Source organism: Homo sapiens, chromosome 8, assembly GCF_000001405.40.
Source record: "Homo sapiens chromosome 8, GRCh38.p14 Primary Assembly".
Lineage (NCBI taxonomy): Eukaryota > Metazoa > Chordata > Mammalia > Primates > Hominidae > Homo > Homo sapiens.
Window position 1 is genome coordinate 106,720,088 of NC_000008.11, and position 20,697 is coordinate 106,740,784.

At 33.7% G+C, this 20,697-nt stretch overlaps 1 protein-coding gene and 1 pseudogene across 19 annotated transcripts in view; one reads left to right on the forward strand and one right to left on the reverse strand.

Annotated features, from left to right (window-relative positions):
• The window catches only part of OXR1 (oxidation resistance 1), a 482,517-nt gene that overhangs the window by 449,910 nt on the left and 11,910 nt on the right, over window positions 1-20,697 (forward strand). For 8 of the 19 annotated variants that reach the window (NM_001198533.2, NM_001198532.1, XM_017013591.2 and 5 more), the window contains 3 exons: window positions 17,433-17,513; window positions 19,371-19,496; window positions 20,256-20,408. In NM_001198533.2, coding sequence (NP_001185462.1) covers window positions 17,433-17,513; window positions 19,371-19,496; window positions 20,256-20,408 — 360 coding nt within the window. Of the gene's footprint in view, window positions 1-537; window positions 657-6,019; window positions 6,223-17,432; window positions 17,514-19,370; window positions 19,497-20,255; window positions 20,409-20,697 lie in introns of those variants that run through there. The other 11 variants (NM_018002.3, XM_006716595.3, XM_047421919.1 and 8 more) reach the window with 5 other exon arrangements.
• RNU7-84P (RNA, U7 small nuclear 84 pseudogene) lies at window positions 9,709-9,770 on the reverse strand (annotated as a pseudogene).

The following is a 20,697-nucleotide window of genomic DNA, read 5'->3' on the forward strand; positions in this document are numbered from 1 at the left end:
GAGCCACCGTGTCTGGCCCAGATAATTTCTTTAAGCTGGTTTTTTATTTGGCTAAAATTCTCTTAGTGGTTAATCTCTAATTCAGAGCCTATACCTTTTCCACCATACCAAGTACTCAACTTTGGCGGAACCTTTGCATCATGATGGGGAGCTTTCAAACATATCATTGCCAAGGTCACAAATCAGACCAATTAAATCAGAATAATTGGGGCTAGGACCTAGTTATCAGTGTTGTTTAAAGCTACCTAGGTAGTTACATTGTGCAGTCAAGGTGCGAAAACTAGTATACCACCATGCCACAACTTCAGGTGTTGTGTTAAACATATACAATATTAAGACTGTGGAAGACTCTTTAGACTATATTGATTATAATATAGATCAGCTTTTGAGTTCCTGTCATGCAAGTTATATGAAATACTTTTCATATTCCTTTCATCTGGGCTGCTGCATCAAAAACATAAATTTGGTTCACTATGGAAAAAGGTTTGTTTAATCATTTTGTGCCTTGATTTTTAAGAAAACATATTTTCTCCTCAGTAACAGCCATGCAGATACAATTGATGTTGTCATAGCTCCCTTACATACCACAGGACTTCCATCATGTTGTGTACTCAGAGATACTACAAGGAGAGGAAGATCAAAAAACATACCAGGCTGTAAGTCAATGATCTTTGAACTTTGTCTTCTTCAACTTTGTCCATCAAATACCCTTTAAAATTTAATATATTTGGCAAGTGCCTGAGGATCCAGTAGTATAGCTTAAAGGAGTGACCACCACAATAAGCTCAGATTCATGTAAAACTTTTCATTCAGCTTTATAATTTATTTGTTGTAATATAAAGATGAATTTGGAATTTCTTATCATGAAGTCAAAATGGTAATACTGTAAGTTGAATCGCTTTTATCCTGCCATCATTTATCATGAGACATTACATGCTGGACAATATCAGCATCCACCCCAAGTACCAACTTCAAGAGGCTGTATACTAGAATTTTCTGAAAGTCAAGGATTCATTGTGTCACATGTTCAGTATGCCAGTCTTGCTGCTTGACCACACAGGCCTCAAAGGTGGAGCTTTTTATGCTAACATTGCTTTTTGGTTCCTTTCCTTTGGATTGACTTTTCCAGTCCTTTTGGGATAAAAGCTGGCAGAGAAAGCTTTCCAAAATTTTTCATCTCTAATTTTATACCACATGTACTTCAGTATCTTTCATACTACAAACCTAATTAAAGTATCCAGTTCTCCTAGGATGATAAATAAAAACAGCTAAGAAACTGGTTTTATTAAATCAACTTTACTTGATTTATTTAGTCTCCCACACATTTACTTGATTAAATTTTAAGAACGAATTTACTAAGATTATGTGTTGATAGGGTGTGTAACAGTATTTTTCATTCTTAAAATGATTCGTATTTGAATAAAATTGCTCTGGCTTCCCTCTTGCTTCTCACCTTTGCCAAAATACTGATAAAAAGACATTCTGTACAGTTTTGGGGTTTTGAAACAACCTGTATCTTTTTAGGTACATGACATTAGTCACATTTTCTCAATAATTGAAGTTTAGATTATTTAAGTATAAATGTAAATATGTTAACTACTTACTATATAAACCTCTATACTATTATTCAAAATATGTTAGAATCTGCCTTTCAGCTTAGTTTTTAAAATAATTTATAGTCTTTCCATTTTGACTTTAGTATTTAGTGCTGTCCCTTTTAGTTATATAAGTGTAAAATATGTAACCCGTTCTTAGCATTGTAGGCCATAACATTTATCACATTATGTCATTGTTGGATTTGGTTTTTCACTACTATGTGGTGATTGCCTTGTGGAGCCAGTTCTGTTTTCACAGCTATCATTAAGTAGAGTTATGGTCAGGATCATTCATTAGGTTTCCCAGAAAACTTCTACAACCGTGGTTATTGCTGCAACTTTTAAGAAACACCTTATCAGGAGACTTCCCTTGTTTGGTTAATATCTTATTTCCTAAGCTGACAGGCAGTGAGTATTCTGGTGATCATTTTATTAAACATATGTTTTCTATTATTATTAAGGTACAAGTAACACCAAAATTAAAACTGAGTTAATATGTTAAACGCACAAAACCCTCATGATCTCTTCTCAGTCTAGCCAGCAAAATCCACATAGAATTAATTTTGTCCAAAAGTGAAGGAATTCTTTGTGTATAAAGTCACTACATTGAGAAATCACATTTCTCAGATAAAGGGAATTTTTTTAAGTATTCTTTTTTTTTAATACTGATCGAATAATCAAATAATATTACAAATTATAACTCCAGAAGAAATTTAATAAATCTAAAAAAGAAATCAGAAGGATTAAACACTTAATTAGAATTTATTAGTTGATAGGTACTGACTTTCATAATACGGTCATGCAGCACATAATGACATTTTGGTTGGTCCCCTGAGATTATAATGGAGCTGTCTCTTAGTGATGTCATAACATCATAGTACAATGCATTACCCTCTCTATGTTTAGATATATTTTGATACACAAATCCTTATCACTGTGTTACAGTCACCTATAGTATTCAGTACAGTAACGTGCTATATGGTATGACCTAGAAGTAATAGGCCATACCGTATAACCTGGTTATATGGTAGGCTATTCCATTTAGGTTTGTGTAAGTACACACTGTGATGTTCACAAAACGAAATTGCTTAAAGATGCATTTCTCAGAACATATCCCTGTCATTATGTGATATATGACTATATTTCTATGTTGAGAACCTGTATAGTTACAAATGAAACTTTTAGACTGTTTATGTTTTCTTTTATTAGCATTTGGCACCCAGGTTTTATGCCTAATATGGTCTGTTTTGACTACTGATTATGTTATCTTAAAGTTGTTATCGACCTTAGGAGAGTTTTGAACTAGTGTTTTGCTTTCCCTGTTAAAAATATTCTTCAATTGCTAGCCCAAAGTTATGAGCTATAACATTTCCATTAAAAATCTTTATCTAGGCCAGGCGTGGTGGCTCACACCTGTAATCCCAGCATTTTGGGAGGTCAAGGCAAGCAGATTACCTGAGGTCAGGAGTTCGAGACCAGCCTGGCCAATATGGTGAAATCCCATCTCTATTAAAAATACAAAAATTAGGCCAGGTGCGGTGGCTCATGCGTGTAATCCCAGCACTTTGGGAGGCCGAGGCAGGTGGATCATGAGGTCAGGAGATCGAGACCATCCTCGCTAACACGGTGAAACCCCGTCTCTACTAAAAATATAAAATAAAATACAATAGCCAGGTGTGGTGGTGGATGCCTGTAGTCCCAGCTACTCAGGAGGCTGAGGCAGGAGAATGGCATGAACCCAGGAGGCGAACCTTGCAGTGAGCCGAGATCGTGCCACTGCACTCCAGCCTGGGCGACAGAGCAAGCCTCTGTCTCAAAAAAAAAAAAAAAAATACAAAAATTAGCCGGGCGTGGTGGCGCACACCTGTGATCCCAGCTACTCAGGACTCTGAGGCAGGATAATCACTTGAACCCAGGAGGCGGAGGTTACAGTGAGCAGAGATCATGTCATTGTACTCCAGCCTGGGCAACAGAGCAATACTCCATCTCAAAACAAAAAACAAACAAACAAAAAACCTCTAATATAGACTGTCAGAAGAGGATTTATGGGTGACAGACTAGTTTATGATTTTAAATATTAAAATTCTAAAATATTACTTTATTTTTAAATTTATTATTATTTTTTGAGAAAGGGTCTTGCTGTGTTGCCCAGGCTGGAATGCAATGGCACACTCACAGCTCACTGCATCCTCGAACTCCTGGGCTCAAGAGGTCCTCCTGCCTCATCCTCCTCAGTAGATGGGACTACAGGTATGTGCCACCTCATCCAGCTAATTTTTTTTTTTTAGAGATAGAGTCTTGCTGTGTTGCCCACGCTGGTCTCAATCTTCTAGGCTCAAGTAATCCTCCTGCCTCAGCCTCCCAAAGCACTGGGATTACAGCCACCTCACCTGGCATAAAATAATAAATAGTGAGTAGGGTAAATTATATATTATAGCTTCTATCATACCATTCCCAACTCAAATAGGAAGAGATATAAGGTAATTTAATAACTTCAGTTCGAATAAAGTAAAGGAAAAGGATTATTAAATTGAATATCTGAATTATGAGAACAGATTATGTTCAACTTGTAAACTGGTAGTGTTTTCAAAAGTGCTTTGTTTTATATCCCATCATGTTATAATAATAACAATTGACATCTGCTTCAAATTCTTGGATATCTAGGCAAATTTAAATGACTTAGCAATATGTATTATAAATACTACAAAAACAGAAAGGGCAAGAAGGAGACTTACTGAGCTCATTTTATGTTTGCCTGACACTGTATTTATAAATTTGGATGACTTCGAGAAACAGAAAACCACACTCAGAATAGCTTAAACCTGTTGTTTCTCGAAGTGTAGTTCCCAGACCATCAGCAGCAGCAGCACCTGGGAATTTGTTAGAAATGCAAATTCTCAGACCCCATTTGAGTCTGATTAATTAGAAACCATTTTTGGAGCCCAGCATTCTGGTATAACAAATACTCCAGGTGATATTGATGCCGGCTAAAACTTGAAAGCCACTGATTTAGGTCTCTAATGACTAGTTCTGTCCAGAGATGAGAGCCAGCCTCCTCAGAAACACATGGCTGGAAGGATACCTGAGCAAAATCAAGGCCACTTCAGGAAGGAGTTGTAAGGGTGGATATTGAATAGGCAACCAACAGAATAGACTATGCCATGCTTGGTGGTTTTTGGTTTTGTTTTTAATATCTCATTTAAACCTCATTTTGGAACACACGTCATATTTGTTATTTTAGAAAATGTAGCTGGAAGTTATGACAAGCTTTCAAAATGCTGCTTCCACCACCACCACCACCAAATTATATAATATTGCTGATGGTTGTTAGGAGAGTCTGTGATGGAGGGGTGGAGTGTGACCACAATGCACTGTATGTAGAAGAGAACTTTCCTGGTGTGAAGATAATGATGGTGTTCCTATGAGGGACTGTGGGAGAGATTTTAGGGTAAATGTAGTGGGGCTGAATGAGAGGAATAGGGGAAATGGTTGGTATGTGGGGGAGGTAGGGTGTTACTGTGGGGTGTGCTGTGCCCTGTGTGAGTGCATGCTGGAATGTGGAGGAAGGAGATGGGAGTGGGGGTTTGGTTGGGATGCAGTATTGCGTGTTAGAAAGGTAGTGTGTGTGTGAAAAGGTGGCATCATGTGTGCATACAACAAAGTGAAGTGGAAGGAGCTGCTTTACCTTAAAATGGAAGAAATTTTCAAATGTATCATCATGATATTGATATTCTGATTAAAACTGAATTCTAGATAGTTTTAGTTTATATGTATTTGTAGTTTATATTTAATCTTTAAAAAATTCACTTCTTTGCTTATATTCAAAATATCACTGGTTAGTGAAGTATATGTAGGCATAGTGAATATAACTACCTTTTCAAGAAATTAGATGTTAGAAAATGCAATTTAAAAACAGACTGTGTAACAGGCAGAGGGATTTTCAGGTCACTTTGAATATTTGTGTAGGATTTATTTGTAGCATATTGGCTTGGTTTTTACACAGTCATTCTGTAAAATTTTAGGGTGGAAGAGTCCACAAAAGGCATCTTATTGCTTAAAAAATGTTCACATAAAAGATACAATCTTATAGTACTGTTAGCTGTAAGTAAGGAACATAATTTTATGACTATATGAACAAATAACAAAATGTTCATTCAAATCATTCATGTGCTTTAAGAGACTCTGGAAATTATATTTACTACTTTTTTGTTACTGGGTTACTTTTAGTATATTCATGTACTGATGTTTGGAAATATAGGCTCTGTGTCTTTAAACTTTTGAGCCCTTTCTTTGCACATTTGGGTACAGTGCAACCAAACTTAAGCATGGGAAATTCTCTCTTCCCTCCCCAGCTTTACAGCCTCCACTCAGGACTATCATTGCTATGGATACTACTTAGTGATTAGCTCTCTCTCTTGTCAATCAAATCTTTGTCTCTAGCAAACTGTTTTGTCACTGTAGTAAGGCTCTAGTGCTGGAAATTTATCTTTGACAGAGGAAGAATGCTTTTGAAAACAGTTCTTACGTGATTTTATGTAACTTAATTTGCCCTGGAAAGGAAATGTCTCGTCTCTGGTATGGGAAAAAAGGGAGAAGACATCAACCAATTAATCATAAATACACTCTGGTAAATCTTAGTCAATTATTTTAATTTGTATATATACTAGTCTTTTCATGGTGACATTATGAAAAATTATACAATTTCTGAAAGTTTAAGCATAGAGGATATTTATAGAATACAAAATTTTATGATTGTACAAAGTACCTTGAAGTTGTTTCTGTTAATTCTGAGTATCTTCAAAAAGGGAAATTAATAAGGGACTGTAATTTTGTTTCATATTAAGTGTTTTGTATGTTCTACACCAACAGGAAGATATCAAATCTTAATTGTTGCCTTAATGTTTTTTATTTTAGCTTAACTTTTTAGAAAAATATTCAGAATTTTCTCTTGCTTGAAAATAAATTGAATAGAACAGAGTAAATTAATTATTATTGACTGGATCTCAAACCAGATTCTTTTATGATATTGTTTACTTAAGGGTATAATTTTAAGAATCTGACTAAAAGGTTTTTTAAGCTGTTCAAAAAGTTTTCAGGCAATGCTACCTAATACAAATCTTCAAACGATATCCTAGTAAGGAAATTCAGTCAACCATACTATTGTAAGAATTTTATTTATTTTTCTGTACGTGTACATTGTTATAAAATGTATTGTCCATTGCTCTTTCTGTGGTAATTTGGGATTATATTTTGCTTATGAATGTTTATTTTATTTTCACTTAATTGTAGATGATTTAAAATCCAATAAGGACTTTGGAAGATGCCCCCAAAGCAGCTTGCCGCCCTTAAATGTTAAGTGTGTCAAAATATTAAAATTTTAATAGGTGTTATTTTTAATTGTAATTTCAAAATTCATTTATATGTTACATCAGCACAGAGGGATTTAGGCACCTGAAATGATTGAATTTTTAAAATTTGTGATTAGATTTACCAGATAAATCAGTTAACACCGTTGTTTTTTTTTTAAACCAAGAACAATGAAGCTATTCATACATTTTTTTTATTTGAAGTTTGAATAATCATTTATTCTTAGTTTGCAAAGACTTCAATACAGTTTATTACAAATACAAGCAAAATAAATTGTGGTTATTCTGAAATTTATAGGTCAATCTAATTAATGTGCATCAAACACTTACATTTATTACAGTCACCACGTCCAAGGCCTGTTCATTCTTTATTTTTATTTTTATTTTTGAGACAGGGTCTCACTTTGTCACCCAGGTTGGAATGCAGTGGCGGGATTTTGGCTCACTTCAACCTGGGCTCCTGGGCTCAAGTGATCTTCCTGCCTCAGCCCGGCAAGTAGCTGGGACTGCAAGCATGCACCACCACAGCCCGCTAATTTTTTTGTATTTTTTATAGAGACTAGGTTTCGCCTTGTTGCCCAGGCTGGACTTGAACTCCTGAGCTCAGCTCAGGAGATCTACCTGCCTTGGCCTCCCATAGTGTTAGGATTCCAGGCCACTGCGCCCAGCCAAGTTCTGTTCATTCTTATGGGAGGCTATATAATTTTGTCAGATACTTTATTTCATGCCTGAGCAAGAATGCTTCCTACTCATTGGTCATTAGCTCTGCCCATACATATATGTTATTTAATTGAACCCTCACAGTAACCCTGAAAGTTTAGTAGAATTATTTCCCATTTTGAAGACTAGTTGAAGCATGGAGTGGTCACTGAACTAAGTTGTCATGTAGTACAGAGACAGCTTGACCCTAGCACATATTGTAGTTCACCAGGATGACTTTGAAGTTTTTCTGAAATAGAACAATATGATGTGTTTTGTTGTGTAGACAAGCTGAAGTCCCAGTTTTCTAGTTGTTTTCTTTGTTTTAAAGCAGAGATTCTAGGAGCTGTAGGGCAGGCAGCTCTTAAGAAAATTGGGATGAAAAGGATTAGCAGTTCTTTTACCTGCTTTGTAGATTGAGAGCCCTGTAAGATTTTGCCTGACAAGGGGCTCTTATGCTTCTAAACTGGAAAAAAAAAAAAAAAAAAAAAAAATTCTAAGAGAATAACCAGTATTTCAGAACAAATGAAATTTGACTTTTTGGAGTTTATAATGTGTAGCTTTTTAGAATTCTTCGTCTTTACCCAACAAATAATATGGCCATATTATTACTACCTCTGTAAGAGAGATTATCACTGAGGTATCTATAGATACCTTGACAGTTTTCCAAATGCCTATGTATGTAGTATCACATGACCTTACAGTAACCCTGTGTGTTAACCAGATTGTTTTGTTTTATAAGTGAGTTAATTTACATCTCAAATACATTAATAACTAATAAGCAGCATACACTCCTAACAAAATGCATGGCATGAAATTAACCTTTTGCCAGTTAGCTTCGATGAGAACCATATTGATCAAGCATGCTTAAGTTTTGTTATCTTTTATTTTTTAAAGGCCGTTTTATAGTTTATTCTGATAACTTAAACTTTAATCATTCATTTATTTGAAGCTATTCATGTATTTGATATATTCATGTGCCATACTCTACCTTGTTAGTGTCTGTCAATAAGTCGTAATTTACTTGAAATTATAAGCCCATTTTATAATAAGGATTTAGTCTTAATCAAAGTCACAAGTCATTAAATAGCATCAGTGTTTCATTGCCTTTATCAGTAGTCACTAATTTCATCACCATTTTCTTAGTTTAGGCCGTCATATATGAACAGACTTTTTTTAAATTTAGGCTTTCATATATGAAAACACAGGAGAAAAGTTTGTATGTCGAATTGTTTACATCTGTTCAAGAATTAGCTGACAGGTGGATTTTTAGGAAGAGCTAATTTAAATGTAAAAATCTTTCCAGTGACTTCAGCCTGAGATAATAACTATAATGATAAAAATAATTACTTGTACTGACAGTGTATACCAAATATTGTTCTAAACACTTAATATGAGTTACCTTATTTAATTCTCACAACCCTGTGGAATATTACTTTATCATCTCCATTTTACAAGTGAAAAAACAGGGACATAGCAATCATACTACAACTAGTGCAAGTCAGAGCTGATTTTTTAATCTAGGCATTCTGGCTCTAGCTGATGCCCTTAAACTCTTTGCCATACTTGCCCTCAAAAATCTTCAGAATATAACAAGAGGAAGAGAATTATTTATTTCATATATTTAATGTATCAGAACCTATTTTATATATACTTTATACATATTATTTATTTCTCATAAAATGTAAAGTATTTCCATTTGAAGAATCAGAAATGGGGAAACTAAATGAGGCTCCCTAAGTTCACAAAACTAATAAAAATCAGAATCAAAATTAAGGTAGCAGTCTAAAACCAAAGCCAGTATTCTTCAATATTATGCCGCCTATCTATAGTAGATAGTCATAAGACATTTATTAACCAGTATTTATGTATGTCTTATGGTAAGTGAAACATCTTCTGCTCTCCAGTCACAACCTAGTTGAAAAAAGTATACACATATATTCAATGTAGAATATTTTTTCTTAATTTATTTGACTCAATTGTTTTTTATTTTTCATTTAAAGAAATTTAATAGCATAGGGGGCTTTCCAGTGAAATTTAATAGCATAGTGGTCTTCCAGTGAAGACCAGAAAACCTGCTAGATAAATTCTAAGAGAGCTGTAACACTGACTCAGTAGTTGAAAAGCATATATCTTATGTATGCAAGTTATGAGGCATAATAGTAAAATGAACATCTGTGATGTACCACTACCCAATATTAGAACTAGAATATCACTAATGTAGCTGCATCTGTCTGTGTGTTTTTTCTCATCTTGTGTCACCCTCATATTGGTAACCACCTCTCTGGATTTTTTGTTTTATTATCCCCCTAACTTTTTTTAATTATAATAGATTTCATTTTTTAGATCAGTATTAGGTTTACAGAAAAATTGAATGGAAGGCATAGAGAGTTTCCATATACTCTCTTTTCCCCAAAACACAGTTTTCCCTGTTATTCACAAATGACATTAGTGTGATATATGTTACAGTGTATGAACTAATATTGATATATTGTCATGCAGAGTCTATAGTTTACATTAAGGTTCATTCTTTGAGTTGTATATTCTGTGGGTTTTGACAAGTGTATAATGACATGTATCTAGTTGTAGAATCACATGCTATAATTTTTCTGCCCTAAAAATTCCCTGTGCCACAGCTATTTATCACTCATTCCCTTCCAGTGAACACCTGGCACCCACCGGTCTTTCCACTGTTTTGCGTTTTGCAGAGTGTCATATAGTTGGAATCATATAGTACGTAGCCTTTTCAGATTGGCTTCTTTCACTTAGCAATTTTTATTTAAGACTCCTTCATGTCTTTTTGGCTTGACAGCTCATTTCTTTTTATTGCTGAATAATATTCTATTTTATGGTTTTATCCACTTCTTTACCCATTCACCTGGTAAAGGACATTTTGCTTTCTTCCACCTTTTGGCACTTATGAAAAGAAACTGTTACAAACTTTTAGATGTAGATTTTGTGTGGACATAAGTTTTCAACTCATAAATACCAAGTAACATGATTACTGTATCCTATGTTAAGGGTGTGTTTGCTAGGCCAGTGTGGTGACTCACGCCTGTAATATCAACACTTTAGGAGGCTGAAGTGGGAGGAGTTTGCGATCAGCCAGGGCAACATAGTTAGACCTTGTCTTTAAAAAAAAAAAGAAAGAAAGAAAAAATAAGAAACAAAGAAAGAAAGTAAAAAGAAACTGCCAAACTGTCTTTCATCTGGCTGTACCCATTTTGCATGGCATCCACAACAAATGAGAATTCCTGTTCTCCACATCCCTGCTGACATTTGCTGTTGTCAGCTCTTTGGATTTTAGCTTTTATTTAAATAGATGTGTAGTGATATCTCAATCATTTTAATTTGCATTTCCCTGGTGACATATCATAGTGAGCATCCTTTCATAGTCTTATTTTCCATTTGTATATCTTCTTTAATGAGATGTTTATTCATATCTTTTGTCCATATTTTAATCAGGTTGTTTGATATCTTACTGTTATGTTTTACATAAACATAGAGATAGAACAGACCATTGTCTCCTTCCTTCCTATCTGTATTCCTTCATATATTTTGGATAACAGTCCTTTATCATTTATATATGTTGCAGAGATTTTCTAGTCTGTAGCTTGTCTTTTTCATTCTCTTGACAGTGTCTTTCACACAGTAGAAGTTTTTAATTTTAATGAAATTCAACTTAATAATTTTCTTTTTCATGGATTGTACTTGTGGTATTTTATCTAAAAGTGCACCTTCAGACTTAGGGTCACCAAGATTTTTTTCCTGTGCTATTTTCTAGGAGATCCATAGTTTTGTGTTTTCCTCTGTAGTCCATTTGGTATAAAGACTTTGTCTCAATTGACTGTTCTGCAGGTGGATATCCAGTTGTTCCAATACTATTGGGGTAAAGACCATTATTTCTCCTCTGAATTGTCTTTACTCCTTTGTTAAAAGTCAGTTGACTGTATTTATGTGGGATATTTCTGAGTGTTTTATTGTGTATCATTGATGTATTTGTCAGTTCTTTTGCCAAAACCATGATGTATTGATTACTGTAGCTTTATAGTATAGTAAGTCTTGAAGTTGAGTAGTGTCAGTCTTCCAACTTTGTTCTTTTTCTTCATTGCTATCTTGGCTATTCTGTGTCTTTGCATATAAACTATTTCTATAAATTTTAGAATCAATTTGCCTGTATCTACAAAATAGCCTGGTAGAATTTTGATTGAAATTGTATTGAATCCATACATCAAGTTGAGAAGAACTGACAGCTTGACAATATTGAGTCTTCCTATCTATGAATGTGGGATATGTATTTAAATCTTTTGTTAATCACAGTTTTCTACTTTTTTTCACGTAGATCTCTATGTATTTTGTTAGAATTATATGTATTTCATTTACATTATGCTAATATAAATGGTATTCTTTTTAACTTTCAAATTCCAAGTTTTCATTGCTGATATAAAGACCATTGACTTTTGCATATTAATCTTGCACTCTGAAAGCCTGCCATGATCACTTATTCCAGTAGAGTTTTGGTTGATTCTTTGGGATTTTTTATACCAACAATCATGTCATCTGCTAACAAAGACAGTTTTATCTCTTTCTTCCCTATTTATATAACTTTAATTTTCTTTGAATTTAATTTATATAACTTTGTCTTATTGCATTAGCTAGGACTTCCTGCATAATGTCAGGTAAGAGTACTGGCAAGGGATATCCTTTCCTTGCTCCCAGTCTTAGTGTGAAAGGATCTTGTTTCTCACTATTATGTGTTGTATTAACTGAATTTTTTTAATACATGTTCTTTATCCAGTTGAGGGAGTTCTTCTTTATTCCTAACTTCCTGAGCATTTTTATTAGTGTTGGATTTTGACTAGTGCATTTTTTGTATCTGTTGATAAGATCACATGATTTTTCTTCTTTACCATGTTGATGTAATAGATTACATCAATTGATTTTCAAGGCTGTACCAGTCTTGCGTAGGTGGGATAAGTTCTACTTCGTCGTTGTATATAATTCTGTACATTTGTACATTGCTCAATTCAGTTTGCTAGTGTTTTGTTGAGAATTTTTGCATATATGTTAATGAGAGATAATTGCCTGTAGTTTTTCTTTCTTGTAAAGTTTTTATTTCTATTAGAGTAATGCTGTCCTCACAGAATTAGTTAAGAAGTATTCCCTCCGCTTCTGTTTTCTGGAAGAGATTGTGGAGAGTTTGTATAATTTCTTCGTAAATGTTTGGTAGTATTCATCAGTGAGTCTATCTGGGCCTTGTGCTTTCTGTTTTAGGAGGTTATTAATTATTGATTAATTATTTAAATACATATCTTTCTTTCTTTTTTTGAGTTGGAGTTTTGCTATGTTCCCTGGGCTGGTCTTGAACTCATAGGCTCAAGTGATCCTCTCACCTCAGCCTCCTGAGTAGCTGAGATAATAGGCATGCATTATCTGTTTCTTCTTGTGTGACTTTTGGTGGTTTGTGTCTTTCAAGGAATTGGTTTGCTTTATCTAGATTATCAAATTAGTGAGTGTACAGTTTATAGTATTTCTTCATTATTCTTTTAATATCCATGGGATCAGTAATGATGGCCCCTCTTCATTTCTGATATTTATTCTCTCACTCTCATCTATCCTGGCTAGAGGTAGAGGTTTATCAATTTTATTGACCTTCTGAAAGATTACAAAATTGGCTTCTGGTTCCATTGCTGTTTTTCTATTGATTTTGTTTTTAATCTATTGATTTCTGCTCTAATTTTATTTTCCTGTGCTTCAGATTTAATTTGATTCCATATTCTTTCATCTCTTAGCATCTCAGTTATACTTTTTTAAAAAACTTTTTTAAATGGTTCCTCTAGAATTTGTAATACACATTTTTTTTAGTATAGTTTACATGGTGAAACCCCGTCTCTACAAAAAATACAAAAATTAGCCGTGCGTGGTGGCACACACCTGTAGTCCCAGCACACATCTGTAGTCCCAGCTACTTGGGAGACTGAGGCAGAAGAATCACTTGAACCCAGGAGGCAGAGATTGCAGTGAGCCGAGATTGTGCCACTGCACTCCAGCCTGAGTGACAGAGGGAGACTCCGTCTCAAAAAAAAAAAAAAAAGAAAAGAAAAAAAAAAGGATATGGGGATATGGCTCCCTCCCCTCTTCCTTCCCTTTTTTTTCCTTTTCCCAGTATTGATGAAAGACAGGAAGTGATTTTAAATGCAGATTTTTTCAAATCAAACTTCACTAATAGAATTAATTCTGGATTTTTTTTTTTTTTTTTTTAAGACAGGATTTTGCTCTGTTGCCCAGGATGGAGTGCAGTGGCTTGATCTTGGCTCACTGCAGCCTCAACCTGCTGGGCTCAGGTGATCCTTCCACGCCACCAGGCCCGGCTAATTTTTTGTATTTTTTTGTAGAGACGAGATTTCTCCATGTTGCCCCGGCTGTTCTCAAACTGGAATGTTATTTTGAAAGCAGTAGTTTTAATTTGGGCAAAATGGGGCAAAGTTTAACATAATTCAGGTCTTATTTTGTAATAAAGACTGTTAATATATGATGAGATATAGTAGAACAACGGCTTATGTGACTTCAAGGATGCTGTTGTATGCTCTTTTTGTTTGATACAGAAGCTCAGAATTATATTTCCTTCTTTAACATATTTTTTGAGACCAAAGTAAGTGTAAGTGGCATTGATTAGATAGTATTTCTTTTTCTCTTGCATTTCCATTTACTGAGAAAGTAGTAAAAATGGCACATTGACATATAACTAGCAGATTTTTGTTAGTGTGCAAGACATTGAAGAAAGGGAGATTTGGGGTTTGTTTTGGAGTAATCTTGGGGAAACACTGGAACGTCCATAAGGTATTGTTCTTTATATCTAAGAGATGAACGTGTTCTTAATCATGGGATTGGCAGCAACTGTGAATTTTCTCTAGTCTCTGTTTTTGTTAGTCCATTTGTAATAGTGATGGGTGGATTTACCCCTGCCTTTCCATTGGTAATTCTGTAGAAGTAAAGGCTTAGGAAAATACTTTCTCTTTGTGAGGGTCCTTTGTCAAAGACTGAAAAGACTAGAGAGTGGCATTTAATTCTGCAGAGTATAGGTCATGGTACTTAGTTCCTATAGATAGGAGTTAGCAGTATATCCAAATACTTTATTCCTTAAGAAACGATTTTTTAGCCAGTGAATGCACTTTTAATTGGAAGGTCTTGGTTTTCTCAACTGTTTACTCCTAATAATTCAGAGCGTGATAAGGGATATTTTGGAGAAATGTATTCATTTTTTATTTAGGTTTAATCTTTTGGGTAAAGTAATAAATTGTATACATGGAGTATGGTTTACCAAGGGTTTAAAATTAATGTAAGAGTAATTCCAGTTTCCTCATATATACTGGGAATATATAGCTCTTTTATCCCTTTATTTTGAGAGAAGGAAGTATATTTCTGTACTCAAATTCAAATCTCTTTTTTCTATTAACTCACAGACTTTTTTTTTTTTCTTACAGTTTTCTGTATCCTCACCCATCAGGGCATGAGTAAATGTTTAAGGTTAAGGAAGCAGAAAGTTTTTAAGTCCTAGAAAAAAATATAATTGAAAAAAATAAATTTGAAAGAGTAGATTTGTGACATGAAAGAAACTATGACTTTATCAAGTGTTATTAAGATAAGCTTAGCCTTATGGCGATTTATTGTTCTCTTATTAGTAACTCCTACTCTCAGCAATGCTGATACAATTAGGTTATGACTGATCTCTTTTGTAAGCATAATTTAATTTCACTTCCACCCAGGAAGTGTTTTTCTTATAGTAAATGAAGGAGTTTTAGAATATAGATATAAGATAATTGTTAACTGGAGGGATAGAAGGAAAGCAGAGAATTAGATAAGTTATTTTTGACAATCCTTGTCTAGGAGACTATTGGATTGAAGGCCATGAAAAAAGAAAGAAAAATATAATTGGCCATTAAATATTTCTAGAGACCTGTTTTGCTGGGCATAGAAAAGCAAGCCCATGATGTTTTTTATTTTTAGTACCTAATTTTTCTTTTATCTTTATTGAAATCCTATTGTTCTTAATTGAAAGTCCTTCATTATTTTTATCTAATACTGAAATATAAAAATTAAATTCAGAATAATCAAAATGTTAAAAATAGTTGAGATGTCAAACCTGAAATATTCTCATTCAAAAATAAAAACCAAAAATTAATAAGGAGGCTCTTTGGCCATTATCATTTAGTCTCCAGGGTAATTGGTGAAAAGTAATCAAGTAAAAGTCATATGAATAATAGTAGTTCTCATTAATATGTTCTGGGCACTATACTCAGTCCTTAATATGCATTTCCTCAGTAATTCACATAAAACCAGATTTGATATGCACTTTTACTATTTTCATTGTTTTATAACAAAATTGATAGGCAATGGGGAACCCAGGTTTATCTGACACCCCCCCCCATCCGCCCCCAGAGCTAGAGAGAATAACAGCTTCTGGTTTCTAAGTACAGAGTCAGCTAACATATTGTATGCTTTGTTGCTTCACAAAATTCAATATAATAATAATGGCCAGAATGGAAATCTGTCCAGCCTCTTTTCCTTTTTTCTATTCTCATGTCTTTCAGAACTTTCAACAAGTTTACATAGCTTTTCATAGTTACCTTAATGTTTACTGGTAGCCAGTTCCTTTTAGTTGGCTAAATAAAAAGCCTTTAAAACCTAGGTTCAAAATCTAAACTCTTTATGAGCCAGTTGGATTAACTCATTTTGTGGTCAGAGCCTCTGTGCATTTTTGATTGATTACAAGAGGAACTAGTCATAGCTCAAGAGAATCGTCACATATTTATCACACCATTAGCGTTCACTGTAGTATGGTAACTGTTTTTAGAATTATGTCATGATCTGAAAAAGCTGTAACTATTATGTCAACCTGAGGAAACTTACCTGTTTTTGTGGGCTTTCTGTAATAGTGTTTATCTGTCATTTATGGCTTTCAAATTTAATACTGTGCAAGAGCCTGGTCTAGGCAATTATAGAAGATAGAAAGTTTTCCTTTGAAAGTTAAAATGTAGGAAAGTTGTTAAATTTTAGTCACAAATAAATGATACAGTAAAAACCATAAAGAAATAAAACAGGAGAGAGGCAAAAAGTGGAAAAAAAAAGTCATTTAAAGGGCTGAAGCAGACATACTTAGAAGGTACTTTTGATTAGACATACTTTTGAAAATCTAATTTTCTACTTTCTAGAGCTTATTTTTCTTATTGCCATAGGTTTTAAAATGTACTTCTATATTGTTTTCTTGCTCTTCTCTCCTCTGTTGTTTCTGTTATAGATGGGTATGTTTGTCACCTGTGCCTAGAAGAAATTCTTCCAGCATGGCCATTAGGATATAATGTTTGAGCTCACCTGATTTGGAGGGGGTAGTTGAAACTACCACTTCCTTTGTAACTGCAAGACCGTTTAGTTTTCAGACGTTATCTTTAATGTTAGCAAAGTATGTGTTTTATATAGTGTTTTCTGTATAAAAAACTATAATTTCTATTTACTAAGTTGAATCTATATGGAATAGTCCATAAAATAAACCTTACATACCAACTAGTTGGATGTAGTAGTGAAAATCATTCATGGATATTTCACTCTAGTTTGATATATAAATCTCTTGGATTTTCAACATAGAGTGGGGAAGAAATCCTAATTACAGTTCTCTTCCCATTTTAATTTCTCCTCTTTTTTTTTTTTTTTTTTTTTTTTTTGCTGTTTTTCTCAACTGTCAGTGGAATTATTGTCTTCCTGTCTCCATATTTAGGTAGTGTCAGTGGCTGAGTATCACCGCAGGATCGATGCTCTAAATACTGAAGAACTGCGCACACTCTGCAGACGCCTCCAGGTGCCCCCTTCAGTAGTTTAAACCCCTCCAGAGACTAAATACTCCCTGTTTTTAGTGTTCTTTGTCATGGCAAATCTCATTTGAAGAATTTGCTTTGACTGCAGCACTAAAATTAAATTCCTTTTTGTATTAAAGGTTATAGTATTGCCGTGAAGAGCTGTGGATTATCTTTTCTGTCATCTTTTCATTTGAAAAATATTCTGAAGAATGTTCTGTCACTTCAGAATTATTCTCAGTATTGTGTGTTTCTTTCAGCGATGAGGAGTTTTCATTCATTTAACGTTGGAAGAATGGTGTTGGTTTTGAGATTGAATCTTTTCTAAACAAAATCTGAAAGATATGGTACTATAGGAAAACTAATAAAAAATTTAATAGCAAGGCTTAAATATTTTATTTAAGGCTATTTCATTTATATCAGCGTCACATCAAATATCTCAATAGGATAAACTGTTCTTGAGGCATTCTTGGTTGGTATTAGGAGTACATTGGAATAGTACAGTTTAGACACAGAACTGGATAAATTACTTAAAATTCTGTGAAATAATCTTTGTGATTTTTTTTTTAGAAACAAGAAAGCAATGTAATTGAAAACTCATTTTTAAGTTGTGTCTATTATACTGTGTTTCTTTCTTCTTAATAAGATATGCTTTCATGGCTCTGCTAGACCTGAATTTTTTCTTTTAATGCTTCTAATGCTGCCTTGGGTTTCTTTTTCTTTTTCTTTTTACCTTTCACATCATCAAAATAAGGGTGAAACATGATGATATGAAAGAATGAGTATTTAGCTTCTTGTCAAAAAACAATACACTTATAGAACATGTATTGGTTGCAAATATATGCTGCTCAGGTTTGTTAAGAAACCTGTTAAAGGAACAAAATAATTTAGCAAGAATTTCATTCCCATATAGAATCACAGTTGCTGAGCGTTGCTGCATTTTAGTTATCTGCTCCAATAGAATTCTGCATATTTTCCAATTTAAAAGTTTCATAATGTTTCATTTCTTTTATTTTCTAATATTATTATGTTTTATATATTAAAATAAAATTAATATTAAAAAGTAAGCACCAATAGAATATATTGTGCAGTAGTAAGCTTTATTTTTACTTAGTTAACATTCTTATCGTTTTAAGAATACCAGTGAAATCATTTCCACCAAGCAAAAAAGCATGTATTCTTTGTAATGCAACACATTAATCTAATTTAAAAAATAAATTTATGAACAAATTAACAGTAAAATTTATTGTTTGGTCCAAGTAGATGAAAAAAATTAAATGTTTAGAAAGTTATAAAAAGAAAGCATTTAAAAAAATGGTAACGTTTGTCAGTGAAACAAATACATGCACAACTCACAGAAAATAGTTATTTTTTTTTATTCTACTATTCTTTACATTAAAATTTTGGCACCCAGGAAGTTTTGTTCATTATTTTTGACAAATTTTGTGTTAGCATGAAAGAATTCTATTTTAAATAGCATACACACACACACACACACACACACACACACACACACACACACACAGCGCAAGCCAGCTAGCTGACTTTTGCCCTTCAAGGGCTTAATTAAAGATGCATGCAACTATCTTCTTTACACAGAAATATGGGGATTTATCATTCCTACCAGTCGTTCCTCATGTAGTGGATGAGAAAACGTCTGCTTATATTGTTATAAAATCTTTTCCTACATTGGCTACATCATAGATATTAGATATGGGCCATCTTTTGCCCTATAAAATCTTAAGGTTAAAGATTTAGCCACATTTTCTACGATATAAAGCTTTATTTATCTGAAAAGTCTGACAATTTTGAAAGCATGTCACAAGTTTACATTAATGCACTACCTCTATTTACTGTTTTAGATTACTACAAGGGAAGACATAAATTCAAAGCAGGTTGCTACAGTGAAAGCAGACCTGGAGTCTGAATCTTTTCGACCAAACCTAAGTGATCCCAGTGAACTTTTACTGCCAGATCAAATTGAAAAGGTATGACATGCTCACATATGTGCATTTCTGAGTGTGAGTGTGTACCCATGAGAGTAAAACAGCCTCTTTTTAGTTGTTTCTGAAGCAACAGCGTTAATGCTATTACTATTCCACTCCAGTGAAAAGAAAGAGTAAGCAAAACATAGCAACTAGTGTTAATTAAGATGTTAGGAGATTTAGGTAAGCAGACACTAAAAGCCAATATTTGTTTTATTGTTGTGTGCTTGTTACTTGCTTTATGTGGATTATTTCATGTAGTTGTTACAACAGCTGTAGAAATTGGATGCTCTTATTATGCACATTTTTTATTAAGTTAAAAAATCGGGAGCACAGAGCGATTAACTTGTTCAAGGTCACACAGGGAGAAGTATTAAAGCTTGATTCCTAACTTGGATAGTCTGTCTCCCTAGCCTATTATTTAAGAGATATTTTAATAATCAAGCTAATAGTCTATCAAGTATTTTTGTTAATTCAATATGGAAGGCAAAAGCATTAAGTAATCTATGTTTCTTATCTCTGTTCTAATCTGTGTCTGGTTCAGGGTGATTCTTTATTTTCCTAATAGACAATTAATATTTTATTCTGAGAAATGTGTAATACTTTTCAATCATCTTAGTATCTTTGAGAATAATAATTTCTACTGTTAATTTATTTTTATAGCCTATATTATATAGGCACCATTACATTCCAGCTGGCATTAGTATTCTACATAATGAACAACAAGCTATCAAGTAAATACTAACACTTTGTTTTCTAAAGCTTACCAAGCATCTTCCACCAAGAACAATTGGCTATCCATGGACTCTTGTTTATGGTACTGGAAAACATGGCACAAGCTTGAAAACTCTTTATCGAACAATGACAGGTTTAGACACCCCAGTGCTGATGGTGATTAAAGACAGTGATGGACAGGTATGAAACACCAACTGCATAGATTGCTTATCCTTTAAGAGCAGTAACAGTAACTTTTAGCATATTTATTTGATAAACATTACTTTATTAGTGCATTTTATTGTTTAACTGATAATTACTGGGTACTTTTAATATGCAAGGCAATGTTGAGTATTACAGAGGATAGATATGAGCATGATGATTAAGAATTACTGCCTTCAAAGGGATTATAGAGTGGTAGAAAAGAACATTTGCACATACCAACATCTCTAATGGTGGGGAAAATGGTAGGTTTCTTAGAACCTAGAAA